Source organism: Homo sapiens, chromosome 7 (genome assembly GCF_000001405.40).
Source record: "Homo sapiens chromosome 7, GRCh38.p14 Primary Assembly".
NCBI classification, from domain to species: domain Eukaryota; kingdom Metazoa; phylum Chordata; class Mammalia; order Primates; family Hominidae; genus Homo; species Homo sapiens.
Genome location: NC_000007.14, coordinates 37,364,239 through 37,378,539, shown reverse-complemented (window position 1 = coordinate 37,378,539; position 14,301 = coordinate 37,364,239). Strand labels below are relative to the sequence as shown.

General features: G+C 40.4%; 1 protein-coding gene and 1 pseudogene across 10 annotated transcripts in view, besides 2 other annotated features; one reads left to right on the top strand and one right to left on the bottom strand.

Moving 5' to 3' along the window:
- The window catches only part of ELMO1 (engulfment and cell motility 1), a 596,421-nt gene that overhangs the window by 70,787 nt on the left and 511,333 nt on the right, over nt 1-14,301 (top strand). The window lies entirely within an intron of this gene.
- Nucleotides 1,139-2,338: an enhancer, noted in NCBI's record as "P300/CBP strongly-dependent group 1 enhancer chr7:37415805-37417004 (GRCh37/hg19 assembly coordinates)". NCBI's record gives its function as "activates an origin of replication core promoter dependent on BRD2, BRD4, P300/CBP, MED14 and CDK7 cofactors, with strong dependence on P300/CBP, by STARR-seq in HCT116 cells {active_cell/tissue: HCT116}" and the evidence as "EXISTENCE:reporter gene assay evidence [ECO:0000049][PMID:35650434]".
- Nucleotides 1,887-2,087: a silencer, noted in NCBI's record as "peak6489 fragment used in MPRA reporter construct". NCBI's record gives its function as "represses an SCP1 promoter by STARR-seq MPRAs in K562 erythroleukemia cells {active_cell/tissue: K562}" and the evidence as "EXISTENCE:reporter gene assay evidence [ECO:0000049][PMID:32103011]".
- RPS10P14 (ribosomal protein S10 pseudogene 14) lies at nt 2,467-3,053 on the bottom strand (annotated as a pseudogene).

Genomic DNA, 14,301 nt, shown 5'->3' with positions numbered 1-14,301 from the left:
TCTTTTTCTAGAGGGAGATTTGTAGATTCGTGTTTATCAGAGTCCAGATTTGGTAACCCCTCTTTCTATTTTCGTATCAGTTTTCTGGACATTCTTTTGCATGCATTAGGTGGACAGTGAGTTAATACTCATCTCCTCAGTTCTACCTCTCTCCACAAACTTCTGTGGTTTTCCTGGTGCAGGTTTCAGATCTGCTTCAGGATGCCAGGAAGAGAGAGAACGGGGAGCTTTATCTGGTCTAGATTCTTGTACAGGCCACACAGTACCCCAGCACTGGCCTTCTGAGGCTACAGCTCTTCAGTTCACTCCCAAGCTCAGCTGCTGTCCCAGGGCAGAGTCCCCATCCCAGCATGGCTGGGACCATAGAAGCTTCAGTGGCAGCCATGCCATCAGCTGGACCAACCCATCCATAGGGACCTCCGGATTTTGTTTCTGAACTTGGGTTGTACTTCTGACTTCTCCTCCCATCTTTGGGAATTGCCTTGGGAAGAAAACTTTTCTTCTTAGGGTTGCATGGTCTGAGGGATGGGGGCTGTGCATTAACTGTCAATAGACAGACTAAAAGGAGAAAAGACAAGGTCGATTTCCATATGCTGAAGTACTCTTTGATGAGTGCTACACAGACAGGTAAATTTATATACCAATTTAACAAATAAGAGTAGTGCAGAGCTTCAGTGGGGAAGTATAGCAGGCCCTGTTGTGCTTTTTGATGCTTATGGCAACTGATTTTGTACTTCCTGGTGCCAAGGCGCTGGCTTCTCCCACATAGCAAACAGCCTTGGAGGAGGGGGTTCAATGGTGGCTGAATTTCTCAGAGGTTCTGCTTAAATTCAGAATACTACTTTGGTGGGCTGTTAATCCCTTCAGACCCTAAATTTGCTTTCCTCTCTGAAGAATCCTGGCCCATCAGAGAGTCTAAATTGAATGCCAGGAGAAAAGGGCTCCTGGAGGTGTCTCCTATCCACATGCAAGTATATCTACCTTCTCCCCAGTGACCTGCTCTGTCTACCAGAGAGCGTTGAGAGGGGTGACCGTCCTCTGTTCACAGAAAGGTGGTATTCCCCATTCTACCCTTGTTGGTGGTACTGGCGCATTCCATTTACGTAACTGTGTGAGGCCACTGTGTTGACTCATCCCTGAACCCAGAAGATCTGCCTCAAGTGACTTTTCACTTTGGCTACCCCGAGACACATGGCCTGGCACCTTCACTTTCCTGAAACTTGTGAGACATACCACATCCTATGGTTATAGAGATTTTTAACTACAGATGGTCCCTGAATTCAACTTAAGATTTTTGGGGGTTCAGTGGTGCAAAAGCAATAAGCATTCGGTAGAAACTGTACTTCAAATTTTGAATTTTGATATTTTTCTAAGCTAGCAATATGTGGCGTAATACTCTCCAAAACTTGCAGTCAGCCATGAGATCACATGATTTTGCCCACCTGTAGGCTAATGTAAGTGTTCTGAGCTCCTTTAAAGTAGACTAGGCTAAGCTATAATGAATGTCCTGTAGGTTAGGTATATTACATGCATATTTCACTTATGATCTTTTCAACTTAACAGGATATAACTCCATTGAAAGTCCAGGAGCATTGGTAATGGATTATTAAGGGATGCTGTGAGTTACCAGTTCACAGATTTCTTGCAACTTTTTAATCTCTGATAAATGAAAATGTTACACTCCAGTGGGTTCTTCTTGCCTGCTACACAGATAAAGCCAAAACGCTGAGACGGTGGTGTTGAAATAGGGAATGAGTTTAGTTATCACAAGGCAGCCGAGCAGGAGGACAGGAGATATTTCTCAAATCTGCCTCTCTGAGAGCTTGGAGGCTAGCGTTTTTAAAGGACAATTTGGTGGTCAAGAGGCTAGGGAATGAGTGCTGCTGATTGGTTGTAGATGAACTCACAGGAGTGTCGAAAACTGTCTTCATGCGCTGAGTCAGTTTCTGGGTGGGGGTTACAGTACTAATTGAGTCAGTTCCTTGAGATGAGTCAGGTCCCTGAGGTGGTAGTCGGTTCACCAGAATGCAAAAAATCTGAAACGTATCTCAAAGACCAATCTTAGGTTTTACAATCGTGATGTTATCTATGAAAACAATTAGCGAAGTTATAAATCTTTTAACTTCTGGCAACATGACTTCTGAGCAGTAAGCAAGCTAGGGAACAATAGCTGGTTATCACTTACCTATGCAGGTACTCAGGCCCCTCCCATAGTTAGCTTTGTCTATGCCCAGGAATGAGGAAGGGCTGTTCGAAGCAAGATGGAGTCAGGTATGTCAGATTTCTTTCACTGTCATAGTTTTTTGCAAAGACAATTTAGAAAAATGTTTAAAAACAGTGGGCACTAGGTCAGGTCTGTGATCAAAGGTATAATTCTATACCTTGCTAACTGAATTGGTTCATCACTTCCTTCAAGAGCTGTAAGAATCAGTGTTTTTTTTGTTTGTTTGTTTGTTCATTTTTTTAAAGTTTTTTTGGCTGTAAGTTTATTCAATGTGAAATAATCCTCTCCAGTTTTACTGAGGTGGCTGACCATGTTCACAACCAAATCCTCCTCTAAACTGGAATTCAGTTGCTGACCCAGCCCCAGCCTCTACTTTCTTGTTGGCACCAGGAGGCACAGCAGCACTATGTCTGCACGTATCTCTGTTGGCTTCCCCTCTTGTGAGTCTTGCAGGTTGCTCAGTCTCCAGACCTTTAGGCCGAGGCCTGCCAGTCTCTGGACGGCTGCAGTGTACAGTGGCAGGCACAGTCTCCAGGGTCAGATGAAGGTAATCACTGAGATACTGGATACCCTCATTGGTAAGGTACCAGTAGAAGTGTCTCCAGGCAAACTGTTCCTTCACACAGCCTCGGGACTTGAGAGACTGCATGGCCTTCATGACCTGAAGGTTGGGCACATTCTTGTCTGCCAGCTCCTGGTGCTTAGGCATGGGGGACATCCTTCTTGGCCACCATGACTCCCTCCTTAAAAAGGAGTTTATAAATGGCAATCTGGTTCTTCTTAGGCATCAACATCTTGGTGGCTCTGGGGTCCGGGGCCGGGGCTTGAATCATACCTGACTCCATCTTGCTTCGAACCTCACGGGCTGACTGCCCTTGCTATTCCTGGGCATAAACAAGGCTATCTATGGGAGGGGCCTGAATTCTGCTAAGACCTGCATAGGTAAGTGATAACCAGCTGTTGTTCCTTAGCTTGCTTACTGCTCAGGAGTCATGTTGCCAGAATCAGGTTTTTGGTTAGGAACCATTTAATATTTGTTTACTAGATTACAAAAACAGAAATATTTTCTTTTTCTTTTTTCAGTTACCAAGTGTTTAGCAAGGGAAATGTAATCTGCTACAATATGATTATGCCTTCTCTTGAACACTGTGTTGCTTCTAGGGAGAGGAAATACTAGAGGAATCAGGAAGATGGGAACAAAGAGCAAAAAATTACTTTGTGGAGTTAAGAGATTTTTTCTTTCTTTTCTTCTTTTTTTTGACAGACTCTTGCTCTGTCACCCAGGCTGGAGTGCAGTGGTGTGATCTCAGCCCACCGCAACCTCCACCTCCTGGGTTCAAGCAATTCTCTGCCTCAGCCTCCCAAGTAGCTGGGATTACAGGCATGCATCACCACGCCCGGCTAATTTTTGTATTTTTAGTAGAGACGTAGTTTCACCATCTTGGCTGCACTGTCTTGAATTCCTGACCTCATGATCCACCCACCTCAGCCTCCCAAAGTGCTGAGATTACAGGCGTGAGCCACTGCGCCCAGCCAAGATATTTATTTATTTATTTATTTATTTTGAGATGGAGTCTCGCTCTGTTGCCCAGGCTGGAGTGCAGTGATGCAATCTTGGCTCACTGCAACCTCCGGCTCCTGGGTTCAAGTGATTCTCCTGCCTCAGCCTCCCAAGTAGCTGGGACTACAGGTGCGTGCCACCACACCTGGCTAATTTTTTGTATTTTTAGTACAGATGGAATTTCGCCATAGTAGCCAGGATGGTCTTGATCTCCTGACCTTGTGATCCACCCGCCTCGGCCTCCCAAAGTGCTGGGATTACAGGCATGAGCCGCCACTCCCGGTGCCAAGGGATTTTTTTAAACGACTAACTAATGTTCTTTTTTATCTGGCAACCAGTAATGATGCATTGGTTATAGCATATATAGGTTTTAGCAAGATTTCAAAAAAATTATTAATTCTCGGACAACATGGAGAAATGAGAGCTGGATGCTAATATAGTTAGACACGATGGTTGCATAACAACAGCAAAACCTCAGCCTCCCCTCTCCTTCTCTCCCTGTGGGTACTTGGGTGACCCTGAGCTGATGTTCAGCTAGGACTCACTGGCATACTGGTGTTAGGGCCAGCATTCATTCCGATGGATCATTGTGCACCCTGTATTGTTGTTAAATATTTTAAATATGCTCTCAGGGTGTAATAAACTAGAGCTCTTGGGAAAAGCAGACCAAAGCTGGGCCACAGCCACGTTAGCTCTCTGGGAACTTCATGCATGGTGCCCACACCCTACCTCTAGTTAAAATGAGAAACAACAATAAAATAAGTAACGAAATCCAACACTGTACATTTTCCCCATAATGATGACTTCAATATATCTTTAGAAATATTAAGTAACAAATTATGTTTTATTTTCTCATTGATTGGGTGCTCCTGCTTTGCTGGTGCCTTAAACATGAGCCTTTGTTGAGCTCAGAGTAGGCCTCCCTGAGGCAGCAGGCAAAGGAGAGAACTGAGAATTAAGGATTTGTTCTGTTTATATTTTGAGCTTCCATTGGTAGTTGTATTGGTTTAAAGTGAGTGCAAATTGTTTGCACAGCCATTAAGCGTTTATGATAATGTATTGAGTTGTTTAAAATAAAAGCACTGCTAAAATTAAAAAATTAAAATAGCACCATAAACAAATAAGGCTTGGATTTTTTTTTTTTTTGAGATGGAGTCTTGCTCTATCATCCAGGCTGGAGTGCAGTGGGATGATCTCGGCTCACCACAACCCCCACCTCCTGGGTTCAACCTTTTCTCCTGCCTCAGCCTCCTGAGTAGCTGGGATTACAGGCATGTGCCACCACACCCAGCTAATTTTTTTTAATTTTTAATAGAGACTGGGTTTCAACATATTGGCCAGGCTGGTCTCAAACTCCCGACCTCAGGTGATCTGCCCGCCTCAAGCTCCCAAAGTGCTGGGATTACCGGTGTGAGCCACCATGCCTGGCCACCTTGTAATTCTTTTAATGGAAAAATAAAGCAAAATACTCAACAGAGAGGGATTTACTACAGAAGTGTAAATTGATTAAACTACCGCTTTTGCATATTGGATTGGTGAAATGATTTGCTTTTCACTTTAGGTTAAGTGTGCCTTTCCCAGAACCGACCTCTGCTAGCGCCGTCTTCAGTGTTACACCTGATTCCGTCTCCTGCTGCACCATGAAATGCTGACTCTCAAGGCAGACAATGGGACAGGATTTCAGACAGAACCATTTACCTGCCTGTGTGATGTTTCCCTGTAGGTGACACAGCACGGGTGCCACTTCCGTACCAGCTGTGGAAGTCTGGCTCTTCCCTTTAGTAGCCTCAGGATACAGGGCTGGTTCTGGCTTCATTTACCATCATTAAGAGCCTGTCTGACTGGAAGAGATGTTATCTCATGATAATTGTTCCCTTCTGCTCATTGCCAGGTTGGAAAAATAGATAATGGTGAAAAAGTATGTTGAGAAGCACCAATTGCCAGATCCCCTAATGAGTGAGGTATTAATCTAGAAATATAGTGGAAAATTTCCTTTAAATATGTAAACTAGACTGAAGGGACTGGCAGAAAGTAGGGTGACAGTTGTTTATGAAATTATTGCATTTTTATTAGTTTGAAATACACTTGCATATGTTTCTGTTAGCCCTGGGGAAGAGAGAAAATTTTATTAGTGTAATTCAAAGTTATAAAAAGCACTCATTATTAAATTGCTATAACTTTAAAAATGAGATACGTAAGTTAGGAGGGATAAAAAGATAAATGCCTGGAAAATTTTATTTTGACCTGCTTGACTTTGTGAACTTAGAAAATAATAATGATCATTTATTGAGCATGTAGTATATACCAGGGACTCATTGTAATCATTTAATCATCACAGCAACCCTATGAGTTATAGCAGTATTATTCCCATTTTACAAATGGGGAAACTGAGGCCTGTCAAGGTTAACCGATTTACCCAGAATCACCTGGCTAGTTAGTGCTAGATCCAGGGTTCTAGCCCTGGCCTTCTGACCTCAGAGGTTATGGTCTTCATTCTTCATATTTTAAATGCCTCAGTCACTTAACTTTTTTGGGGTAGTTTCCTTATTTTTAAAATGTGGGGGCAAGACTAGATTCTTTATAATAAATTAGAGTTTTGGAACTGTGCTATCTTTTTTTTTTTAACTGAAACTGAGCAGAGGCAATGTTCATCACATACTCACTGCAAAAGGTCAAGAGAATGACTAAATGGTAATTACCGGCAGTATTTGTAGCAATTTAAGTCATTTCAGGATTTTACCTTTGACAGTTATTAGTTATTAGTTTTAGTAACAGGGACACTGAGAGAAGGTATTTCTTGGTCTACATCTCAGTTGCTTCCTGATTTCTCTCTGAACCAACCTCCCCCAACCCATCTCTCCCTGGAGCTGCCAAATAATCACACCTCAAGCAACGGAAATCGGCTGCTCTTCGCAACTCATCAGGGGAGTGATGACTAAATGCAGGGGATGAGTGAGAAGAGGGAATTCAGGCAACGATTAAGAAGCAGGCCACTAATTAGGAGAACCAGGAGAGTCTGCTGTTATCTTGTGCTATTCAATCTGGAAGTTACTAAACTCTACCTTAGTAGAAAATGTGCGCCTGACTTCTTTAGGAAAGAAAAGAAACGTTCGTTAGCAGATCCTAGATTCCTCTAGATTGCTTGGAGATTCCTAAGACATAGCCAATTGAAATATATATATATGTACTTTCATATTTATTACTGAAGGAACCCCCCCATTTTGTTACTGTGCTTAAGTTTGGTGTTTCACATAAGTTTTCCGAGTAAATGAAAGCTAAAACTAAATAGTTCAAAATAGATTATAATGAAATGTTAAACCTTTATTAAGTATATGATACAAGCAAATGATGCTTTAGAACATCTATGCATTGTTTAGTGAAGAATTATAAGATGAAGATCCATGTACCCATCATGCAGCCTAAGAAATAGAATGCTAGCAATACTTTTCAAGCGTGGATCCCATTCTCTTCCCTAACTCAAGTAAAGATTGCTCTGAATATTTTATTAGTAATCTCTTTGTTTTATTTTAGGGTTACACAAATACAAATGATTTTTTTTTGCAACTTTATAAAAACGGAATGATTCTAAGTTTTTCAGTGGCTTGTTCAGTATTAACATTGTTTCTGAGATTCAACTATGAGAATGTAGTTCACCCATGTAGATGTAGTTCATTTTTATTCTTCAGAGTATATTCCATTTTATGAATATGGGACAGTTAATTTTTTCTCAGGAGAGATAGACATTTGTTTGTTTCCATTTTCTTGCTATTAGGAGGATGTTGTAAATATTTTTGTCCATCTCTCTTAGTGTAGATGAGCAAGAGTTTTTCCAGGATATATACCCCAGGAGAGGAGATGCTGTGTTGAAGGCTACACACACCTAAAATTTTACTGGGCAATGCCAACTTGTTTCCAAAGTAGTTGTGCCAACTTTAATTCTCACCAGGAGTACATGAAAGTTCCTGTTGCTCCACATACTTGCCAAAACTTGGGGGCTGTCAGATTATATACATTTTCTAGCCTTTTGGGTGTAAAATGGTGTCAGCTTGGCGGGGGGTCTCTGCATTCCTCTGATTACTAATGAGGTTGACCTTCTTTTTATAGGTTTATTGACCTTCTTGTTTTTTCATGAAATGCCTGGATATGCCTTTTGGGTTGCTTGTCCTTTTCATATTGATTCATTGGAGTTCTTTATATATTTTGTGTACTAAATCTTTGTTCATTATCGATGTCACTGTAGAGGCAGAAATGGGGTGATCCCTTTTCTCCCCATCATAAGAGTCATAGCCCACACCTTTATAACAAAATATAGATCAACAAGAGAAAAACGTAACAAGTTCATTAATGTACTTAAACACGGGAGCCATACAAAACATATGAAAACTCAAGAAGGAACCAGATGGTTGATGCTTAAATATACTGGGGAGAAGGAGGTGGAGAGCCGTAAATGAATGGGCCCCAAAAAACACACCAGTGGTTTGTAAATGATTCTCTTTGGACTCTGAATGGGACCTAAGGATAAATAGTAGCTGCAGACAAGTTACAGGAAGGTAAGGGCAGAGCCGCATTGTGAACAAAGGTCTTATTATGCAGATAACAGTCTTCCAGGTCTTCACTTGGAATTGCCCTCAGGAGAGCAGAGGCGGAGGCTGACTGGGCGTGGTGTCCTGAGCATAGAGACTTCTAGTCTCTTCTCTGGTGGTTAATGTTTCCTGGTTATTTAATGAGATTCCTAGGGAAGGAGTTTTGAGGCAATTGCATTTCTTTTAGAAGTTTTCTCAATCAGATAAGGGAACTTAAAGAGAGAGCCAGTCCTGGTGCTTCGAATAGTAAGGAGGATCAGAAGGAGTAGGGAGACGTCAGAGGGAGACCTTGAGGCTGCTTCATTAGTTCAGCATGTCAAAGCACCATATTTCAGGGCGTTTTCTGAGCCCCACCATTGAAGATATCTTCTCTCAATATGTGGTTTCTATTTTTTTATTAAAATTTTTTTGTTATATTTTTTCTTATCAAACCTTTGGATAAGCAGAAATTCTTAATTATATTGTAGATGGATTGGTCAGTCTCTTTTTTTTTTTTTTTACATTTTGGGCTATATATAGCTTGCTTAAGAAATCCTTCTTACCCGTTGGTTATTAGGATATTCTTGTATCCTAAGATTTTCTGAGATGTCTGTTTTTCTTTTTCATTCAAATAGTTAATCTCTGGAATTGTTTTGTTTAATGTGGATTGTAAAGTAGAGGCTGATTTCATTTTGCCCCCTACATTGTCCCCATGCCACTTATTAAATACAGGTTGAGTATCCCTAATCTGAAAATCCAAAATTTGAAATGCTTCAAGATGCAAAGCTTTTTGAGTGCCGACATGACACTCAAAGGAAACGCTCATGGAAGCATTTCAGATTTCAGATTTTTGGATTAGGGATGCTCAGCCAGTAGGTATAATGCAAATACTACAAAACCTGAAAGAATCTGAAATCTGAAACACTTCTGGTCCCAAGTATTTCAGATGAGGGATTTTCATCCCTTCCATCTCCCCCAGCCACTGGTCTGCACTGTCACTTTTGGCACATATCAAGCTTCCATATGAGTGAAAGTCCTCCAGACTATAAATGTTACATAACCTTGTTGACATCTTTATAATATTGGGCTCTCTTAATCTTAAACTTTATATGTTTATCCGTTTATTTTGGTGTTCTTTAATGTTTTTCAATAACTTTTATTGCTTTATACAGAAATATCTTGTAAAATGCCGAGAGGGAAAGCTTCTCCCTTCATCTCCTGAAGGTTTGCTGAAAATATACTGACAAAAGGCCAATGAAAAGGAGAGAAAGGCATACAATGTATTTAATGTGCACAATGCAGGGAATCACATGAGAATGATTTACCAATAGCCCAATGTAGTCCAGATGCTTATATACCCTTCTATATGTGGGAGAGAGGAGACAGAGAATGTGCAAATAAGTAACAAAGTTCCCCTGAGCTCTGAGGGAGGTGTCAGGAAGGTGAGGGATGGAACTTCACTGTGAGCAAAGGTCATCTTATGCAGATAAAGCCTCCCAGGTAATCTATGAGAGTTGCCCTTAGGAGAATAGATGAAAAGCCTGTCCAGATGTGGTGATCTTCTTTTCCTGGGTGGTTGATCTTTTTGGGCTATTTGATGAGATTCCTAGGGAGTGGGGTCTTAAGAAATTCCAAAGAGAGTCCCTCCCGGTTCTTTGGGAAAGAAGATCAGAGACAGGGAGGTGGAAGCAGGTCAGAGAGAAACCTTGGTTCTGAGGCTTATTTCTGAGGCTTTTCACTTTTCAAAGCACTTAGCATGCCAAAGCTCCGTATTGTGATGAATCATTTTCTGCACTCCAACACTATCTTCTTGTTTTATTATTATCATGAAATGTATATTTAAGACATAGTTCTTTCTGATGCTTTGTTCCTGGTGTATAGAAATGCTAATCACTTTAATATATTGATTTATACTCAGAAACCTTGATAAAGCCTTATTAATCCTAATAGTTTCTGATAGACAATAATATCATCTGAATAATGAAAAATTTGCCACCCCCCTTCTTAAAATGTTTAGAATGAGATTTCCAGTACAATATTGAATAGAGGCAGTGATATTTGACTTCCTTGCCTTGTTTTTGATTTTAAAGGAAAAGTTTGATGGCTCACAGTTGAGCATGATGATTGCTATAGACTTTCTGTAGATATCCTTTAGGAAGGAAGCTTTCTGCCATTCCTAATTTGCCTACGTTCCTAAGATGCTTTAAAAAATTATGATTGACTTGTGTATTGGTCCTGTTTGGCGATAGCAGAAAGGAGTTACATTTATTATCCGTGATTGTTTTCGATGTCTGCCATGGATATTAGTGGGGAGGGAAAGATAGGAGGAGGTAATATATGCTTATTATATACTTATTTTCTGATTGCTTTATATGCTATAAAATAATTTCATGCAAATTACCTCATTTGGGTTATTGTTTCCAGTGTCTTTTGTTTGTTTGTTTGTTTGTTTGTTTCTGGTAGGGACTTAGAGGATTCTGATTCCATAACTGTGGCTGGTCTTATGCCCACCAGTTTTTCCTACCACACACGGGTGATATTCAATTTGCACTATGCTTAATTAACCTATTCTTTCTTCCTTAGTCTTCTCTAGTCTTCCATGTCACACACTTAGTGAATTGTACCTGTAGCCTGTTATTTTTCACTGTACTCCTGAAGAATTTTCTTAAAGTAACTAAGAAATCAATGGTGCCCTTCCATTCTGATCCTTTTCTTCCTTCATTCACTTATTCACTTGCCAGATATTCATTGATAGCATACTATGTGACCACAGGTAAAATGGTGAAGAAAACATCCCTGCCCTCATAGAGTTTACACTCCAGAGTGGAATTAGGACAATAAACACATAGACCGGTGTGTAACATTGCAAGGTAGTGATGCGGTGAGTAAAGGAGTGAGTGGGAGAGAGAAAGAGAGGGAGGGATTACTGGGAATGTGTGTGTGCCAATTTTACTGGCATTAGGTTACCTAGGAAAGGCTTCCCTGAGGAGATGACCTTTGGTCTGAGTCCCAAATACAGTGAGAAAGTCAGCTGCGGGAAGTTCAGGAACAGCAGATGAATGACAGTGTGGTGTGTCTGGGGAACTTGAAGAAGTCAGGTGTGGTCACCAGAGAGCAAGACAGGAGAAACTGGTAGGGGACAGAGAAAGAGACAGAGGCCAGGAAATGCTGGGCTTGCAACATTCTCATTAGAGAGATTTTGCTTTTATTGATGTGATGAAACTATGTAAGTATATTTTAGTAGCACATAATATCTTTGTTTACTTTCTCAAAGAATTCATCAGTCTGTTATCTGATTTCTGGGAATAAGAACGCATCCTGGGCTTCGCTCTTGTCTCAGAATCTCCAAACTCAGTGATTGATGGGAAGAAGCTTCTTGTTAATATTTTTGAAATGAATAAAGAATCTCTCTTTCTCCGTTAGAGGAGTTCGGAGAATGCTATTGCTGAAGTTGGCCTGGCTCACTGCACCATGTTGGGAGGTGATGCTACAGGGGGGAGATTACAGAGGAATAAGCCAGCATTGAGTTTCCTTTGTGGTAGAGGCTCATTGTGTGAGGACGGGAGATTCTCAGTCTGACTTCCTTCTCCAGGTAGAAACATCTAACTTAACCAAGTGTAAATGATTCATGTGTGACTCCATAACTTTGTCTTGCTTGTGCTCCTGTTCTAAACTCTAGGTGTTGGGAGATTGGAATGGATCTCATTTTGAACTGGATCTTAACTTCTTTGCTTCAATCCCCTGTTGATAAAATGAGATTATACAGCAATATTTGCTGACCTTCCTCACAGAGACCCTACGTGTGATGAAGTGATTTACATGTTGAAAGGGTGGTTTGTTTTCTTAATATATGAGAAATAGTTAATGCTAAAGTCTGATATAAAACGATTATTAATAATAATTTTTATTTTTACTTTATGTAATGTAATTTAACTCTGAAGAAAAAAATGCTGGATATTCTTTTGAGACCACCGAAAGGATATGGCGATAGTTTCTTCCTTTGTCTTGTAGAAGAATACATGCTATAGAAATCGAGGAGCAAAAATCAGAGCATTCTTTCTGAATTTTCTTTCTCATCTTTTAGCCCCTTTGAATATGGTGTGATTTTAGAAACAACTTAGAATTTAGAAACAACTTCTAGGTCATTTTAATAAACTTGGGAACCTCCTTGGTGGAGAGGTCCCTGTAAGTGGTGAATGGAAGTGAAATCTTATCTTGGGCATTCATCTATCAGATATTTTCTTATTAATGTAGTGGCTGTACTCTTTAGTAGGTTCTACAATACATATTAGCCATTTTACATTTTCTTACTTGTGAAACTTAAAAACACTGCACACATTTGATACTACGACAGTACAAGAGGGAGAATGGCGCTTATGATAATACTTTACTATGTCTCTGCCTCGAAAAAGTAAATAGTGAGTTGGAATAATTGTTTAAGTGACTGAAAGAAAGGAACCTACTATTCAGGAAAGAAGACTTTTCAGATTGTCTGCGTTGATTAATGCATTGGTTAGTTCTTCAACTCCCCACTTTACCTCAGAAGCCACATTTTTTCCTGTGTTGTCTTCACCCTGGGTTTGAACTTCTATGATGGCTGAAATCAAGTTTTGGTCATAAGAAAGAATGACTGAGATGAGTAGTTGGTGTTTGAGAGCTGGTGCTTTGCCCATGATGGGTAGAAGAAGGCTTCTCTTCTGCTTTTTCCAGCGGGAGAGCTTCTTCAGGTCCACTGTTGAGCAGGTGTCCTGCTACCCGTTCTGTTCTGCAGTGACTTTGGTGTTGGCCCACACCAACTAGAGGGAGCTTGGGTACAGGGTTGACTCTGTGGAGCTCGGAAGCTCCTGGGTCCACTCTTATCTTGCCCATACTTCAGTAGGATCCCCTGCAGCCAGCCTGGGAATTGATCGGTGCTCAGCAAAACAACCTCTTTTATTTTCCAGTGTCCTTTTGAAAGACCCTTCTCTCTGTGAAGTTTCACAGCCTTTGATTGCTGCAAGAATTTAGGACCACATCATAGAATTTAAAACACAAAGTGGAAATGTGGCCTGGTGTTAGAAGTTATTTCCGTAAGGCGGAATGGCTGTATTTTCCATTCGGTGGGAATGGACAGGAAAACTGCTGTTGCATTTCCATTCTCCGCAGGCTCAGATGGAAACGTGTGGGGGTGAGGAGCTTTCTGTTTGATAAAAGCTAAAAAGCCCACTCGCATTTCTAACCTTTCAAGTTATGACAGTCATTCACGACTGTCAAATATAATGGCATTTTAGACATCATCCAGGAATCGTTAACAGGTTCCAAGTGCCTTGGCACAAAGAGTTTACAAAAACATTCTGAGCTTTGTTAAGAAGACACTTCTGACCCACCTTCAATAGGATTCACTTTTTGTGTTATCTTTCTATCAATGGTAATAGAAAAGCCGATATCCTTAGTTGTCTGGTACCTGAAAAACAGGATATATCCACAAAAGCACTTGAGTTTGCTCTCCTTCCTCAAGCAAAACTTGCCAAATTTTAAAATGGTGAAATGAGAAGAAGAAGAAATTTGGTTTTGAGTTGAATTTTCCCTATCTTAATTACAGAAGGTAAGTATTCTGAAAAAAAAAAAAATTAAGCCAGCATTAAAGCATTAAAGCATGCCTTCTAGAACCTACAAGTTATTTTCCTATGTGTTAAAGGTTTTGAAAACAAGTGAAGAAGTCTCTTTCTCCCATTGGATGAACATTTAGGTATTTAGGTGAAAGCAAAAATGATCAAGTGTGAATAAAACTCTTCAGGAGATCTCTAGTTTAAGAATAAATATGTTTCAATATTCTTGCTTGTTGTCTGAAACTGGGAACAATTTTAGTCATAGATTTAACATCATATTTGGCAGAATACATATTTGGCAGAATACACTCAACCATGGGAGGGTCCCCTGTGTCTCTCTGGAGTCTCATTTTATATTAATAAAGG